Below are 17,140 nucleotides of genomic sequence, written 5' to 3' on the forward strand. Positions count from 1 at the left end.
CTGATTTCACTCAGTGATTTGTCCATTGCTTAGTCAAATCCCGATTATTTAATAATGGCTCAGCTACTACCTGGAATTATATGTCTAGCCCCCTCTAAAACACACTGGGTATCCAAATTCTAATACAAGCTAAACTCTTTCAAGATAAAAAGTTTTCAACATTTAAGGGCTTTGTTTGCCAACACATCATACACATAAAATTCTGAAAAGGTGGATACTATGGACTTGAATCAAGTTTCCTCCCTGCTGTTCCAAGTATCCTCTTCTCTTGACACTTCAGCATTAGCAGGCAAGGATAAGCAACAATTTTTACCTCTCCAAGATTACCAAATCTACCTCTCCAAAGGCACAAAATATTTTCAGGTTTAAAAACAAAACAAAACAAAAACCCTGACAAGATAATATTATAGCTCAGTAAAGTACTTTTGTGCAGTTAAAGCATTAAAAGCATCAGCCTGTTTTATTTTTTGACAAGTTTATTGAACAGTATTCAAGACTTCATCTTTATAAACAAAAACCTCTGCTGAGTGATGCCAAGGCAGTATTTGCTGGCAATGTTGTGGCCATATTGGCAACAAGCCATTTTGTTGTGTTTGGTTTCTAAAGTCTGGACTACTATAGAACTGCCAGTAAAACAATTTAAATGTGGCAATTTTGCAAGGGTGGAAAATAATTTTTAAAGTGACCACTTCCAGAAATTCTTTCCAAAAGATTTGACTAGCAGCAATTTTACATTTTCTTTACTCATTTCCCGAGTGTTCTTAAAATTGATGAGATTTTACACTTGGCCCATACCTGTACACAACCACAGACTCCAGTAAAAGGGAGCTGGAATTTAAGGCTTTCACGCATCCTTGTTTTTATGCAAGGCTGACTATTTCCACCTAAAAATGTAATGTTTGCTTACTTCCATACAGTCCTAGATTTTCATCCAGTGGGTTAAGACTGGCCTTAACTACACTGAATATTACTACCTGAAATTTTAAATAAAGTTTCCTAATCGAATTTTCATTGTTGATGCTTTGACAACTTGGAGTACAAAGCTAGGAACTACATTTCACTTAACACTGTTTCATTTTTTAAAAAGCCACTAATAATAATTGTACATCCAAACTACTGTGTAAACACAGAACACACCTCCAAATTATGCTTGTGAACTAAATGTTTCACTAAAGTTCAGAAAAGTTTACAAATTTGCTTATTTATGACATACATTTGTAGATTTCTCTAATCCTTTAAATCAAAAGAAAAATGAACACCAATAAAAAAAAAATCAGAAGGGAGAGGAAAAAAAATTAAATCTAATGGAAAATATTCTCTTCCATTAATGTCAGAGTCACCAAAAACAGACAATAAAATTTACACATAAAATTGAAAATATCATGATAGTGTTTACAAATGCACACAACTTTGAGCAAAGCTTTACAAATCCTTCATACCATACAAAGCAAATGAGAAAATAATGTCAATTCATTTCTACCCCAAACCTAGTTCTTAGGAGAAAATTCGCAGGAAGAGAGGTATGAGTAGTTTCACAGAATACATTTTCAAGAATTTTTTAAAAACTGAAACTCCAATGCCCAGAACAAGATAAACAGTATCCTTAGCAGTTAGCACTGTTAATAAATCTCAGATACACAAAAATCAAGTTCCAGAGGGCAAAGCATTTAATTACAGTCCACAACGAGCACTGTTGTGATTCATATAAAACATAGTTCTCTCCAATTTCTACACAAACCGCTCTTTTAATTTATTTAATTAGATGAACAATGAAATCGTTTTCCTTTTCAGCATTTATCTAAGATGTAGAAATAACAAAGTAGTTGCAATAAAGTGTATGAAATATTTAATAAGAATGTACGAACATATAACCAAAATAAATTGTGAAAAAAGATAAAAGACTTTCATCTTCAAACAACCCATTTTTCTAAAATGAAAATAGCTTTCCAATGGAGAAAATATCTGTGGCTGAAATACAACTCTCAAGCAGTGCTGAAGTTTTTTGCATTGTCTTTGGAATGAGAAATGATTACTTAACATTAACTTAAATTAAACAGCATATACAAACGTTATATTGCTTTTGAAATTGAGGAGGCAGTATCTAGTGATCGGTCAAAGCAAATCTGTATTCATGAATTATCAAAAGACCCACAACATAGTCACCTCTTGAGTCTAAACAATCCTTCTCTTAAACAAAAATCCTGTACTGTCAATCCTCTAAGATTGTAGTGATAAAAAGCCTTTTCAAATCTTATCAAATGAAACTGTTGCCACTCTTAAATTACACAACCGCTGTATTTCAGTGTTCCACTGACTCACAACACCAAAAAGGCACTGTATATATATATAGTTTAATAGGAAATACTTATTTTAAAAGACTGACCCCTTTGTAACTACGCTGATTTGTAGGAAATGTTGGGGATGTTTCAAACGAAGACAAAGGGGCCATGTAAAAGATAAAATTTGGTTTTCATGATCTCTCATCTATCTCTCCTTCTGTATTGTTTATAATGTGACACATTTTCAGAGCATTGACTAGGGAAAGTAACCATAACTAGAGCCCTGTAAGGCCAAGTTTTTCATCACAAGGAAAGTAACCATAATTAGAGCCTTTTATGACAGTGAGAAAATTTGTTTTTCATATCATCTCACCTATCTCCCCTTCCGTATTGTTTATAATATAATGTGACACATCTTCAGAGCACTGACTAGGGAAATCATAATTAGAGCCTTGTAAGGCAAGTGTTTTCATGACAAGGACACTTACCAACCAGAACTCATGTGGTCCTCCTGCCTTAGTGTCCTGAATACCAAAGAAAAGAGTATGAAAGGGTCAAGAATCTCAATTTTCTCCTCTGGCGGCTGCACTTGTACTCTGTATGAAGACTTTTAGTAAACAGGCTCCTGATCGAACAACTATGCCAAAAAGCCTCCAAATAACAGGACTAACACGTATCAATCTACGAACCAGCATACGGATCTTTTATTCTATACTACTACTGCTAACAAAGATAATTTCAACTTCAGTTTTAAAAACCTAGATATAACACTTTCTTATGAATGGGCCCCTCTTTGTTTAAAGGCCAAAATTTCACATAATCGGGACAGGAGGAAATTGATACTACAATTAGTCCATATGAAAAGGACTTCAAATCAAGTATCTTAAACACATTATTAAAAGTGGTTTCTGGTTTTCGATACCATCCAAACAACATGAACAATTTTTAAACTGACTAACCTAAATCGTGGCGGTCAAACCAAAAAGGCTCTGGTAGATAAAGGACTCCATAGTTTATTTTTATGGCAAAAGTCTTATTCCACACAGTTTTAAGTGTGACATTAGAAATCAAAGTTTGAGGTTATAGCACAAACGAAGTGTGGACTTTTATATTTAGGGAAAAAAACCAACAAAACAGTTCTGCTCATTTACAAATGAGTCAATTAGACAAACAAAGCAGCAACTTCTGAAGCAGGACTGTCTATACAGCAAGGACCCTTAAGAAGCAATAAAGGTACATACAATGAATCTGTATACAGAAATTTTATTCAATTTTAAAAGAAAATGAGGACTTTAGACAAAGCTTTACCCTATAACAAAGCAAATCTGTCCAGCTTTAAACCAAATTCTGAGAGTAGCCAACTTCTATTTTCAGCAGCTGGCAAGAGCACCCTCAATGAGTTCTACTGACATTTCTATTTTCTTCATCCCATATGGTATAAAACAAAACCAATCTAGACTCCTTGATAAGCTTTATGTGGTCATTTGAGTTTTACAAATGGTTTCTCTAATGGTATGCCAAAATCATTTATGTGTTCTCTCCAGATAGCTTTACTGTAACATACAGCAATGTTTATCCTGGTGAGTGAGTCTTCTGTAAACAGTCAACCAATGCTCTATGTTATGGAAACCAAGCTATATGCAATTGAAACAATCCACAGGTTCTAACCTGGAAATACTAGGAAAACAATCTGGATGCATTAATCACAGCAATATGAAGATCTACCCTATAAAAAATGATGTGAATGGCTACCCTAATACAAGTTTTACTTTTCTTGAACCTATAGGCCTGTCATTTAAGTCAATGACAGCAGCTGTGGCTTCATCCCGAGACTCAAAGGCCACCATGGCTTCACCTGTGGGCATACCTTTTTCATTGTATTTTAAACACACTGAGCCTGGGATTACTTGATAGCCATAAAAGAAATCTAAAATCTCATCAATAGACACAGTAAAGGGCATGTTTTGCACTTTAATTACTGTCGGTCCTGGTTTTCCAGAACTAGATGCAAAGCCAGGGGGACCACCAATATGGATTGGGCCAGGGCCGGGGCCGGGGCCGGGGCCAGGCCCAAAAGCTGGTGGCCCACCCAAATGCCCAGGGGCACTTCCAAGACCAGGAGGGCCACTTCCAAACCCCGGGGGACCGCCTAAGCTACCAGGGCCATTTCCAAAATTCTGAGGGCCCCCTCCAAATCCCGATGGCCCACTTAAATTGTTTGGTCCACCTCCAAAACCCGGAACATCCAGTCCTAGACCAGGCAAACCACTGTTTCCAACTGAAGGCATACCAGGCCTAGCATCACCAAAGGCCCCGCCTCCTAATCCTGGAGGAGGGATTGGTGGCCCAAAGGCATTTGATCCACCAAAATTACCAGGAAAGTTAAATGGAGGCCCATTATTGGCTTCCTTTGATCCTACAGTCAGGAAGGCATGCTCTTCACCTCCTGCACTAGGTATTCCTGCACTGGGCATTCCCGCACCAGGCAGTCCTGCACTGGTTATTGCTGAACCAGGCAGTCCTGTGCTGGGCAGGCCTGCACCGGGAAGTCCTGCACTGGGCAGTCCCACACCGGGCAGTCCCGCATTGGGCATTCCTGGAACTGCAGGATTACCTGGCACAGGCATCTTTAATCCCTTTTTTCCTTGGGCAGGGGGATTTTTCTCAATCTCTCTCATATCTTCTAGGGTAACTACATGAACAAAAGCTTCTCTCCCATTAAGTTTTTTACGGTGTAAGCGTTCAGACTTACGTGCATCATCTTCATTTTTAAACTGAACCAATGCCTGTCCTAGACCTTGCCCATTGTTATCAACAAGAACATGTACAGCATTTTCATCCACTGGGATTCCTTCTAGGAACTGAAGAACATCCATCTTTGTAATGCTGAATGGAATATTTGTTATGTGGGCACAGACTTTGGCAGAGTTGACATCCCCCTCTGGATTTAGTATCATTTCCCTCTGGTCATAGCTGAAGTTCTGCAGTCTTTTTCGAATCATATCTATCTTTTCTAGCATACCTTTCTTAGTAATTGGATGAACTTGAATAAAGCGATTGCCCATGTACTGTTTATGACGACACAGAGCAGCCTTATAGTCAGCCTCATTTCTGAACTCTACAAAGCCTTCGCCAGTTGCTTTCCCATTGGGTCCATAAGCTATATAAATACTATCTTCCACAATATCCAGCTTTTTAAAAAAATCAATGACATGTTTGTTTTCTGCTTCAAATGGTAGCCCTTTCAAGTAAACACAAAAACCAGCCTCATGTGGTGATCTTGACCTTGATCTTTTCTGCCCACTGGGCGATTTTGACCTGGGAAGTGTCTGAGGAGGGGGATGAGTTTGTCCAGAAGGTCCCATATTTTGCTTAAAAGTGATATGGCCTCCAGCAGCTACCCACTGTCTTTCTGTGGCAGGGCTAACTTCCACATAGCGTTGAATCATCAGCATTCTGTTTCGTTTCAAAGCTTCAAATGTATCTTGAGGGGAGAGAAACTTAACCAATCCATTCCCATTATTTCGACCTACATGATCTTTCAACAAATGCACTGCATCAACACGGAGCCCATGAAAAAAATCTCTGACATCATTTTCCATTGCAGAAAAGGGCATTCCATGCACACTGACATACAGATCATCAGGGTTGATGGGGAGTGGCTTCACACTGCTCTGAGAGTTCATCTGGATAGGGTTAACAGGATTCAACGGACCAAGAAACATAGGATTCAGATTATTGTTCAAATTCATAGGTGCTCCAGAGCCATTCATTCCAGCAGGTAGAGGTGCCACAGGTGGCGGATTCAAGGGCGGCATGCCCGACATGGGTGGCAGTGGGGTCATGGGTGGCACAGAAGGAACTGGGGGAATCGGGGGCACAGGAGGCACAGGAGGCAATGTAGGTACTGGAGGAGGAACTGGAATTGGGGGAATGGATGGCATTGGTGGCAGAGATGGCATCGCTGGAATTGGAGGAATTGGTGGCGGCGGGACTGTGTTCATTGGAGAGGCTGTGCTTGGAACAGTTGAGCTAAACGTTGGGCTCCCAAAGGAAGCCCCCATATTTGGAGGAGCTGTTCCTACGCTGGCTGTGGAAAATGTCTGTATGTTTTTGTTGCTTTCATGAACAGAAGTGGTGGCAGTAACTACACTGGGTGATGGATTATTAAAGTTGGATACTGTTGTGGGCAAGTTTACCCTGCTACTCATTCCTGAGCTAGGTGGTGGTCCTGATCTACTGGCATTTGCTGGTGGTATATCTAAGTTGGCAGTTTCAAAACGCCTACGACTCAGTTCAATCATATTCTGCATTTCCGTCTTACTACTCAACAATAGTGTTACTTTTGACCCTTTAATTGTACCACCTGTGCGCATCATACCAAGCCTTGCATCTTCATCAGTGGCAAAAACGATGAAAGCCTCACCCAGTTCACCCCCTACAATATGCACGCCCCCATCAGGAATGGTCAATCCAGAGAAGAAGTGGCGAATGTCCATGGTCCCCGCCACAATTGGGAGACCTTGCAAACGGATGACCACAGCCATGCTGCGCTGAAACCACACACACCTGCAGATGAGAAAAGGCAACGGCCAGGTCAGACTCCTGTTTATCACACCAAGTTTTTAGCTACAAGAATGACCAGCTACCATATTAGGCCCTCAAATATTCCCTCAAGCTATCACAGGCAATGTCTTTAATTTAGATATTCTAAAAACTGAACATTACGTGCCATTTACAATGTAAAACGTAGACAATTTCAACTTCCAGAAGGCATTAATTTTGGAAACAGTTCAGTCCCAAGACTCAAAAAGTTCAAGAAAAAACAACTGTAGGACAGTAAAATACATATACATCATTCAGACCACTAATCATTCAGTAAGATTTAAAAGAAATGTCTAAGTCAAATCAGGAAACAAAGTTTAACAATCTATAGGGAAAAAACATGCAAAGAATATATAGAAGTTAGTATTTAAAACTGGCTTAGCATCTTCCCTATATACTTGATAATTTCATAGAATTATCAAGAGTGTGATTTTATAGAGCTCAGTCTCAAAATCCATCCAACAGAAGCAAAAAACTAGAATACTAATGAATTGTAAATAATACTTAAGACTAAAAGTAGATTCAAGTCTTAAATGAGAACTGGTTCCATTATTTTATTCATCCTAAAACTTTTCAATCTGCCTTGTACATTACAAAAAACTACATATGGAATTATTTATTATAAACAAGGTTAAGACATACTAAGAAGCCAAAAGAACTACTGAATAGGACAGCTAAAATCTGAGTTACCTTGATTCATTACCCCCAAAAGTAGAACCTGGTTATAGTCCCATTCACTGTGACTATTTTAATTAAAACTCAGGTCCAATGACTCATAACCAAATCCTCTATTTAATAAAATTTTTTAAAGTATTATTTTCCCCTAGGAGAGGGCTGACAATAAAAATATTTTTTGTTTTTGTTTTAGAACCAGAGTGTGAATTACTCAGTGGTTGTTACAGTCTTGGACCTACACAACTCCTACAGGATCTCTGTGATCTCCTTAGATCATGCCTGTTTTGACATAATCAAAAAAGAAATGTTCCCCTCAAATTTCAGTATTTCAGTTCCAAAGGCTTCTAAGAGCAAATTCAAGGGCAGCCCTTTGGAAAGTGACACAAACCGAATTATTGGGCCTGGGAAACATACTACTTTGAAATTAAGGTGGTCAATAACATAGGGTGTTTTCCAACCCATCTGAAAAGTCAACTTTTATTTATTTATTTATTTTGAGACAGAGTTTCACTCTTGTAGCCCAGGCTGCAGTGCAACGGCACGATCTCGGTTCACGGCAACCTCCACCTCCCAGGTTCAAGTAATTCTCCTGCCTCAGCCTCCCAAGTAGCTGGGATTACAGGCATGCGCCACCATGCCTGGCTAAGTGTTTGTATTTAGGAGAGATGGGATTTCACCTGACCTCAGGTGATCCACCCTCCTCAGTCTTCCAAAGTGCTGGGATTACAGGCGTGAGCCACTGCGCCCCACCTGAAAAGTCAACTTTTAAATATAAGCCCATAAAATCAGCTCATGACCCTCAGAAAGGTTATAAATTAATGAAGAGATTTGGTTTTATCACTTCTCAAGAATATTAGAAGGGGCAAGATTTTCTACTATAAGCTCTAAGAATTCTGTAACTTCATTGTCAAATATTATATAAATACTAATGCAACAAAATCTGTAATTATATCTCAATATTACAACTGCCGTATACAAACAAGAAACAAACTGCTTGGCTTTGACAGTTTTCTCACAGACACATACACAAAAATAAAAAGCCACCTTCAAATTTAATCCAGAAAAATGGACTAGCAAACAGAAAATGCTTTTTGTGAGGCCATTATAAAGCACTAGAAATTTGGGAAGTGTGGGGAAGCTTTTCATTTACAAACTTCAAGAGTCAACAAGAAAAATTAACGCTAAAAAACATCACACCAACAGTCTCTTTTCTCATTTACTATTTAGCAGCCTATAAGGAGGTTCATCAAGCAGTTTCCAAGTCATTAAATCAAATTCACATTCCTTGCTCAATCTAGAATATGTGGCTGTATGCAAAATGTGATAGCATTTCCTGTTCAACTTCAAAAAACGGTTAATCACTTTGTATAGGGGAAACATCATGGGCAATCCAGGTACTCAAAACAACTTGAGAGAGAGAGAGAGACTAGTTTGCACTGGGACAATCAAACAGAAACTTGATATAGTCCCAAGAACACAAAAATTAAACACAGGGCTAAAGTGACATACACAGTTAAGTCTTCAAGCCATTTTCTGTTAAGAGCAGGGATTTACTGAAAGTTTGTACAAGGTACACATGAGAATATGCTATTGAAAATCTGCCTCAGATTACCAGCTGGAAAGGGCTGAATATTAAACCAAAGTGGAATACAAGATTTATTCATAAAGCCATCTGATGAGAAAAATTGTTTCTAGCTTCCAAAAAATATGAAATAATATCCGCAGCCAGGTGCGGTGGCTCACACCTGTAACCCCAGCACTTTGGGAGGATGAGGTGGGTGGATCACCCGAGGTCAGGAGTTCAAGACCAGCCTGGCCAACAAGGTGAAACCCCGTCTCTACTAAAAACACAAAAAATTAGCTGGGCATGGTGGCAGGTGCCTGTAATCCCAGCTACTAGGGAGGCTGAGGCAGAAGAATCACTTGAACCCGGGAGGCAGAGATCACGCCACTGCACTCCAGCCTGGGCAACAAGAGCGAAACTCTGTCTCAAAAAGAAATAAATAAATAAAACAAATAAAAATTTAAAAAAAAATTTAAAAAAGTATCTGCTTTTCTGTTACTAAGTAACTGTTTGACAGCTAAGTCATTTCAACCTAACTTGGGCCTATCTTAGTTACTTAAACAAGAGGGTTAGATTCCACTTGCTAAGGTTCCATTTAAAGTCTAAAATTTGTACTCTAAAACATGTGACCCATTATCTATACTTAAACTCTTAGGAAATATAAATAAACATATCAATAACAAGCATCTGTATTTGTAATTAGTCTAAAATGCTACTAAGGAATAAAACTTACTGCCTATCAGGAAAATCACAAGATAAATAGATCCATATAAATGAAATTGACCCCCAAAGGAACAACTGTTCAAAGCACCCATCTACCCCACCCCTATCCCTCAGATAAACTTGTAAAAAACCACACCGGCCTGGGTGGCGGCTCATGCCTGTAATCCCAGCACTTTGGGAGGCTAAGGCAGGTGGATCACAAGGTCAGGAGTTCAAGACCAGCCTGGCCAAGAGGATAAAACCCCATCTCTACTAAAAATACAAAAAAATTAGCCGGGTATGGTGGCAGGCGCCTGTAATCCCAGCTATTCGGGAGGCTGAGGCAGAGAAGTGCTTGAACCCGGGAGGCGGAGGTTGCAGTGAGCCGAGATGGCACCACTGCACTCCAGCCTGGGCAACAGAGTCTAGCCTGGGCAACTGAGCAAGACTCCGTCTCAAAACAAAAAACAAGCAAACAAAAACACACACACACACACACACACACACACACACACACAATATAGTTGCTACATATATTTTCATATTTCTTAATAAGCTATCTCATTTTATTTTGTATAAAAACGAACTCTCTATTCAAAATCTCTTACCTGATAAAACAAGAGATGAATTTCCTTAACAAGAAGTAGAGGCCAAGTCAATCCTGTGGGCAACCAATTAAAACCAACTTTTAGACTGCAATAGAGAATAAACGGAGGCAAAAATCAATGCAGGAAACACAAAACAACACGCACAGGCCACACTGTACATTACGAAGGCGAGTCTGAAACCACCAGAGTACTTCATTAGAATGCATATCAAAAAAAAAAAAAAAAAGAAAGACACCGTAACAAAATCCCACACATGCTTTTTAGTTGGTATTGCTTTCAAATTTGAGTATCTCAAAATAATTATATATTTACAAGAGTGTCATTAACTTAGCCCAATAACGAATCCACTGAAAATTAAAACAGTCATAAAGCTCAGCTTCACAGCTAATTGCTTTGATCACTTTATAATTAAACCAGTCCAGAAAACTCCGTAACACAAGTCTATTTCCCCAGGTTCTCACCAAATTTGTGATGAAAAGGCACAAGTTCGCACAATAACAATTCTTGGACAACTTAAGATAGCAATTCAAGGGTACTCATGGAAATTACTGCAATTATTCTTTCAATATATTTTATTTTGCACAAAATAGCATCCAACATCACAAAACAAATGAAGTATGAGTTCTTGCTATAAGGACTAATTCCACTGGAGCTCAAAATATTAACAAAATATTAAGGGAAAGTGTTTTTTCCTCTGACATCACAACAGTTCTCAAAAACTTGTAAAATTTAAATAAATAAAATAAAATAAAATTTAAAAACACCCTAAAAATGCCTGACATATTAAGAGTATATCCCAAAATAAAAACAGGTCACTCATCTTTCACTGTCATTTCTTCCAAACTGGTGAGGTTATTAACAAGTCACAAGCATATATGACCAAATGTCTAGACAACTATATTCAAAGGTCATTTTTTGCTTTTTATTTTTTTTCAAAGGTCATGTTTTAATTCGGAGAGAGAAGAAATTTGCCACTGTTCAGTATTAAGATTACCTACGACTACTTTTCCAAATGATGCTCATCTTAAATTAGTATCTTCCAAGACCAAAATACAACTAATGACCTTAATATTCATCGCCAAAAAGTAAAACATATTTCAAAAATCTGTGTGATTTTCTAAAGGACAAACTATTCATCGTCTAGTCAACTACTCAAGTTGCTAAAGAATAGTGAGATGGTTTTACCACAAAAAGCTATGCAAATATGTAATCAACACAATCAAAAGTCTAGAGCATTGTATTAATCTTTTACATGTTGTAGAAATCTAGCCTCTTTTTTTTTTCTTTTTTTGAGACAGGGTATCGCTCTGTCGCCCAGGCTAGAGTGCAGTGGCGCGATCTAGGCTCATTAGGCTCATTGCAACCTCCGCCTCCCTGGGTTCAAGCTATTCTCATGCCTCAGCCTCTGGAGTAGCTGGGACTGACTACAGGCTTGCGCCACCACCCGCAGCTTATTTTTGTATTTTTAGTAGAGACAGGGGTTTCATTATGTTACCCAGGCTGGTCTCTTAACTCCTCACCTCAAGTGATCCACCCGCCTCAGCCTCCCAAAGTGCTGAGATTACAGGTGTGAGCCACCACGCCTGGCCTAGCCTAACTAAGTCTAAGGAGTTTAAAAATTCTTCATTTGAAAGCCATATCTAGTAGTTTAACAGGTCACAAAGGAAAATGTGAAACAGAAAAAAACCTGCTTCAAGTAAAGCAATGAGCAAGAGCATGAAGTACTGTAATATTTATGTACAGGTTTGACTCCAGCAGCCACATAACAGGGTAACTTTCTAGTTTCTAGAACTTGTAATAAACATCTGATCCCTACTGGAGATTCCAATTCAAAAGGTCAGGTATGGGGCCAGGGCATATGCCTGAATATAAGGTAAGAAGGTTCCTCTCAGCCTCTTCCCTTGCAAACTCAAAAGATACCGTATGTCTATCTTGAGAAGGACATATCTGGGGTCAGCCAGTTAAGCTCAAAGGGAACTCACCAGGTCTACTCTCAAAAATTTCTAAAAGGTTACCAGAAATTACCTTTAAAAGGAAGATATTTCTCATTCCACAAGGCAAGGCTGAAAGGCCCAGCTGAATTTGACAAATGCCTAGTTCAAGTTTTATGTGTACAACTTAAAGCACAAAATCAATCCAGATAGAAATTTATGATTCTCTTCTATTTCAGCAAAGAGGAATACCCACCCCACCCCATACCAAGGAAAACCATGCAGAAAGTTGATGCTACAAGTCAGAACTTCACAACCCTTGGTATTATACCTCTTCAAAAGGGAAAGGTAAATGGAAATAGAACTGAAATACTTCTGTGTTGACACCTCACTTTGTAAAAACCACAAGAATTTAACATAAGTGTCACTGTTTTCCAGGAAACTACTATTCCTGTATTCTAAATGTCAGCTAGCGACTGAATGCAGGATTTCAAAAATCCACGCCATTTACCTAAAGCTTTGCTGAACTTTAGAAGGATAAGACTAAAATAATAACTAAACAATAAAACATCTAAAATACATATTCTATCTATACATACAGCATAATGATAGGAAAGGAGAAAATGGGCCTGATTTGTCATTAAAGCCACTGATATACTTCAGAAGATCTAAAACAAGAAGCTGGCTTTAGTATGTTTTCCATTCATATTATCAGGAATTAGTCCTAACATAAAGGCTTGCTTCAACTTGACAAAATACCGGATGCATGCACAAATCACAAGTATCTGCTACAAAAATTTAACATATTATGGCAAGACAGACTTTCGTATTTACTAGCCATTCTAATCACTTGGAATTTCAGAAAAAAATGTCTGACAACAAATCTCTTCATCAAGAAGTCAAGGCACAAACTAAAACGACTATTTTCACTCTTCATCTGGTAGTAAACATCCAAAAGTGAACTTTAACTTTGTTCAGTTATCACTCTTTAATCAACAAGAACCAGGGTACAGCAGAGCTAGGTTCTTCAGATCCAAAAGAAACAAACTCTCAAATGTTCACCTCAGAGATTAGCAACAGAGAACCAATCACAACGGGCACAATGCTAAAAACAGTATAATCACATTATAATAAACATTATGAAACAACCACAGTTTCAGCCACTTGATTTTGTTCCCCATTCCCAAATGGACCATATATCAAAGTCTGGGATCACTCTTAATGAAAAAATTATTCTGACACTGATGGAGATGTGTACTTTTTATAACGCATTACTCAATTTTTCCATTAACCTCCATTCCGTACTCAAAGGCAGCAAATCAGAAGACATTTCTAAATAAGATATTCCTCCTGTCAAAAATATTAAGTTATGTTTCAATCCCCCCAAATGCCAACAAAAATGTTGCTACCTTCATTTTCACTTCAGAGCAAAATTATACTTCTAACCTAAACAACCACATTCACTCTGTTTTTGAGTCTTAAAAGCTGGCTTTAAACTTAATTAAATTTTGTGCAAACCAAAAGGTATATGGGTGTGGTAGTAAAATCTGATAAAACTGTAGTTTAGATAAAATTATCTTTTCTGTTTAGTTGAAAACATTTAACAATATTCCTTTACTCCATGAACATTTACTATTAAGCACTTGTGGGCCAGACAAAAGATATAAAAGTGGACATCATCAGTCTCTGCATTTTAGGGAGGGACATCTAAAAGCATCTTTTGTGCAACCAACTACTGACACTTGGTTCTTCCTACAACATCTACAGAAGAAAACATACATTCATACAATGACAGAATGGCTCTCTGCAAAATGGAGTAAAAACTATCAACACTGTCACTGGATTCCAGCACCTGGAACACACTGGCCCACAACATCAAGTTTCACACCTAAAGACTGTACTAACAACTCCCAAACTCTCAATACTCAATCATCAAAACATTTGACGTGTCAAAGAAGGTGAAAGAAGCCCAAAGAGTACTGGTATTAGCATGTAACAATACGTTGCAAGTAACCACACAATTATTTCTAAAGCTTCACATTTTTCATCTAACAGATTTGAACATAAAGAAAATGAAAATTATACATTACAATCCATAAGCAAAGTAATCACATTTAATCGAGCATATATAAAAATGTATTCCCTGTTTCATTAAAAATCTGTCCAATAATATATACTAAGCACATCTTCATTGTTTTGTATAAACACGCCAAACATTTCACTTTCTTCATAAATTACCATAACGTTATTTGAACCACCTGTAACAGTTCTTCCCAACTTTTTATACTCTTTGAAAATGTCTGCACACTTTCCACTAAATCCAGAAATCCTCCATTCTTATCAAAACTGCCAAATTTCAAAAACAAGTACAACCAGTCTTGTATTGTAGTTCTATAATTTAAAAAACAAGATTTCCCTATGTGTCCAGACTTGAGGGATTTTTCTCGACTGCAAATGCTCTGAGATGCATTAACAATATACACTAGTTAACAAGGTCCCAGACAATTCTTGTTGCTAAGACTGCATTTTGCAAAAATTACACCATTTCAAACCATTCAAGCAAGAAGCTCTAAAATACTGCAGTCACAAGCCTAGCCTCTCCCTTCAACAAACCTTCAGTTGCCATCACACTTTTTTCCAGTGGGTTATACTGACTCTATTATTGAATAATATAAAACGGTCCCTACCAACTTCTTCAATTTATATTAGGTTATCTCTGAGAATCCTGGAGCCAAGGAGGGTTTTAGGGCCCAGAAATCTCTTAAAGTCTGCAATTCTCAGCATGACACCACGCAGATGAGTAAATGTTTAGCACTTAATACTGAGTAACCCTCACAAGAGCCCCTCAGATTTGTCACTATAAAGCACACGTTGGAGGCACACAAAAAGCCCGTACGTTTACAACCTAGCAGCTAAGCCTGCTGCACTGGCGTCCAACCCCGTCACTAACCTGTAGATCCTCAAAGTCCCTCCCACCACCCAATTCACGTGGCTGCAAACTAATGCAGCCAAGCTTCAGAGAAACTCAATTAACTCTCCATCAAAAGCACCCACCCTCCGCAGCCCACTGGATCTCGTCCTCCTGAAATGCCACAGGATCCTCTCCCGAGGGAGCCGTAAATGTGCTGCTCACAGCAGCCCCTTCCCTACTGGGGGACCAAAGGCCTGGCATCTTACTACAATTCTCAGAGCCTCAGGAGGCGTACTCACCCCACCCCCTCACCTCCTAGCTTCAGACGCCGGCTTCTCAAAACTGCTACACCCTCGAGTAAAGCCCCTCCCCAGCAATGGACCTCGGAGGCATTTCACTGCAAACCCCTCCACCTTCAGGCCACGAAGGCGGCCGGTTGTGACACTTCCTTTCTGAACTCACAGGAGTGTACCGACTACAGCTTCCTCCCCACAGGTGTGACCTGGGTCCCCTTTTGCTGGTAGGCCACAAAGGCCTCCTTTCCATTTCGGGTTGAAGGAGTGTCCTCACTACGATTATCTCCCCACCTCCAGGCACAGAGATGTAGTTATAACCTCTGCTTCACTGGGGGAGACAAGAAATCCTCCGTACTCGGGATGTAGGCGTGTTTTTACTGCAGTCCCCGTTAGCTCGCAGGCCGCTGAGCCAGCCAGCTCTGGCCTGCCCCCTCTCAGACCACGGGGGAGTCCTCGCTATGGCCTCGTCCCCACTTCGGTACGCAGGCTCATCCTCTTGCGTCCTCCTTGCATCCTCTCAGATCTCAGAGGCCTAAGTGGCATCCCACTCCCCCTGCAGCCCTGCCTCGACCCTTTGTGTGGGGCGCTAGTTGCCGCGGGCTCGAAGGCCTCCGAAGGCCCCGCCCCGGGCCACCAAGGGGCACCACGAGCCCCGCACAGCCCCACCCGTTCAGGGGCTGCGGGAGTCTTACCGGGGAAAGCTGCGCGGCACCAGAACCCAGACCCCGAATTACCCCCCGCGCGAGTGCCTCCGCCCCGCGGCCGACAGCCCCAGCCCGAACGGCTTCCCGGAGCCCAACGCAGCCACCACCTCCTTCGCCGCTTCACAAAATGGCCGTCGGCCCGCTCAGCGGCTCCGCGTTCCAGAAGGGGGAGGAACGGCGTGGTTGACGTCAAGGGGCCGCGCAAGCGCGCTGACGGTCTCGGGCGATCTCCCGGAAGTTACTGGGTTTTGTGCTAAGAGGGGGATATTCAGTCCCTGCTTGCGACTGTTGGCGCACAGGACCGACCTTGGGCTAGTGGCCCTGGCGGGTGGGCTGGGTATGAGTGTCTAGCTTGGCCCTTCACTGCAAGACTGTGCAAATTGCTTCACGTCTTCCAGTTTCCGCGGAAGGAGCGAATTGTGCTTACCTCTAAGTTTTTTGAGGATTAAATGGACCACAACGTGGTGGCTAGTTATTATATCCTGACAAAACAGCCAAAACCTGATTCTTTTTTCCCATTTAAGAGTTTATACAGGCCGGGGGCCGGGCGCGGTGGCTCACGCCTGTAATCCCAGCACTTTGGGAGGCCGAGGCGGGCGGATCACGAGGTCGGGAGATCGAGACCATCCTGGCTAACACGGTGAAACCCCGTCTCTTCTAAAAAATACAAAAAATTAGCCGGGCGTGGTGGCGGGCACCTGTAGTCCCAGCTACTCGGGAGGCTGAGGCAGGAGAATAGCGTGAACCTGGGAGGCGGAGCTTGCAGTGAGCCGAGATTGCGCCACTGCACTCCGGCCTGGGCGAAAGAGCAAGACTCCATCTCAAAAAAAAAAAAAAAAAAAAAAAAAGTTTATACAGGCCGAGC

At 40.3% G+C, this 17,140-nt stretch overlaps 2 protein-coding genes across 11 annotated transcripts in view, besides 8 other annotated features; both read right to left on the reverse strand.

Moving 5' to 3' along the window:
• The window catches only part of CPNE1 (copine 1), a 38,857-nt gene extending 22,453 nt beyond the window's left edge, over positions 1–16,404 (reverse strand). For 2 of the 7 annotated variants that reach the window (NM_001198863.2, NM_152926.3), the window contains exon 1: positions 16,306–16,404. Coding sequence is in view for 1 of the 7 variants with exons in the window: in NM_003915.6 (NP_003906.2) it covers positions 5,032–5,046 (15 nt within the window). In the remaining 6 variants the exon portion in view is untranslated. Of the gene's footprint in view, positions 1–5,031; positions 5,414–6,705; positions 6,849–10,433; positions 10,519–16,263 lie in introns of those variants that run through there. The other 5 variants (NR_037188.2, NM_152928.3, NM_152927.3 and 2 more) reach the window with 5 other exon arrangements.
• On the reverse strand, positions 429–16,404 carry RBM12 (RNA binding motif protein 12). Of its 4 annotated transcripts, none has more exons than NM_001198838.2 (3): positions 16,306–16,404; positions 10,434–10,518; positions 429–6,848 (listed from the first exon to the last, which is right to left on the reverse strand). In NM_001198838.2, the coding sequence occupies exon 3, from the start codon at positions 6,824–6,826 to the stop codon at positions 4,028–4,030; it is 2,799 nt and encodes a 932-aa protein (NP_001185767.1). In that variant the 5' UTR covers positions 6,827–6,848; positions 10,434–10,518; positions 16,306–16,404; the 3' UTR covers positions 429–4,027. The 4 variants fall into 4 exon arrangements, with proteins under 4 accessions (NP_001185767.1, NP_690051.1, NP_006038.2 ...); NM_152838.4 differs by having other exon boundaries at positions 10,434–10,486; positions 16,264–16,404; NM_006047.6 differs by having other exon boundaries at positions 16,264–16,404.
• Positions 15,113–15,232: an enhancer, noted in NCBI's record as "active region_17790". NCBI's record gives its function as "activates an Ori minimal core promoter by ATAC-STARR-seq in GM12878 lymphoblastoid cells {active_cell/tissue: GM12878}" and the evidence as "EXISTENCE:reporter gene assay evidence [ECO:0000049][PMID:35858748]".
• Positions 15,227–15,732: an enhancer, noted in NCBI's record as "NANOG-H3K27ac-H3K4me1 hESC enhancer chr20:34251645-34252150 (GRCh37/hg19 assembly coordinates)". NCBI's record gives its function as "activates a minimal SCP1, AML or CMV promoter by ChIP-STARR-seq in naive H9 embryonic stem cells {active_cell/tissue: H9 hESC(naive)}" and the evidence as "EXISTENCE:reporter gene assay evidence [ECO:0000049][PMID:30033119]".
• Positions 15,573–15,622: an enhancer, noted in NCBI's record as "active region_17791". NCBI's record gives its function as "activates an Ori minimal core promoter by ATAC-STARR-seq in GM12878 lymphoblastoid cells {active_cell/tissue: GM12878}" and the evidence as "EXISTENCE:reporter gene assay evidence [ECO:0000049][PMID:35858748]".
• Positions 15,943–16,052: an enhancer, noted in NCBI's record as "active region_17792". NCBI's record gives its function as "activates an Ori minimal core promoter by ATAC-STARR-seq in GM12878 lymphoblastoid cells {active_cell/tissue: GM12878}" and the evidence as "EXISTENCE:reporter gene assay evidence [ECO:0000049][PMID:35858748]".
• Positions 15,943–16,265: a biological region, named in NCBI's record as "Sharpr-MPRA regulatory region 3991".
• Positions 15,971–16,265: a silencer, noted in NCBI's record as "tiled region #3991; HepG2 Repressive non-DNase unmatched - State 1:Tss, and K562 Repressive DNase matched - State 1:Tss". NCBI's record gives its function as "represses a minimal TATA promoter and a strong SV40 promoter by Sharpr-MPRA in HepG2 and K562 cells {active_cell/tissue: HepG2 | K562}" and the evidence as "EXISTENCE:reporter gene assay evidence [ECO:0000049][PMID:27701403]".
• Positions 16,237–16,741: an enhancer, noted in NCBI's record as "NANOG-H3K27ac-H3K4me1 hESC enhancer chr20:34252655-34253159 (GRCh37/hg19 assembly coordinates)". NCBI's record gives its function as "activates a minimal SCP1, AML or CMV promoter by ChIP-STARR-seq in naive H9 embryonic stem cells {active_cell/tissue: H9 hESC(naive)}" and the evidence as "EXISTENCE:reporter gene assay evidence [ECO:0000049][PMID:30033119]".
• Positions 16,323–16,372: an enhancer, noted in NCBI's record as "active region_17793". NCBI's record gives its function as "activates an Ori minimal core promoter by ATAC-STARR-seq in GM12878 lymphoblastoid cells {active_cell/tissue: GM12878}" and the evidence as "EXISTENCE:reporter gene assay evidence [ECO:0000049][PMID:35858748]".

This window comes from Homo sapiens, chromosome 20 (assembly GCF_000001405.40).
Source record: "Homo sapiens chromosome 20, GRCh38.p14 Primary Assembly".
NCBI lineage: Eukaryota > Metazoa > Chordata > Mammalia > Primates > Hominidae > Homo > Homo sapiens.

Coding starts and splice junctions, on each gene's coding strand:
- RBM12 (NM_001198838.2), bottom strand. CDS start 6,826: ATGGCTGTGGTCATCCGTTTGCAAGGTCTCCCAATTGTGGCGGGGACC.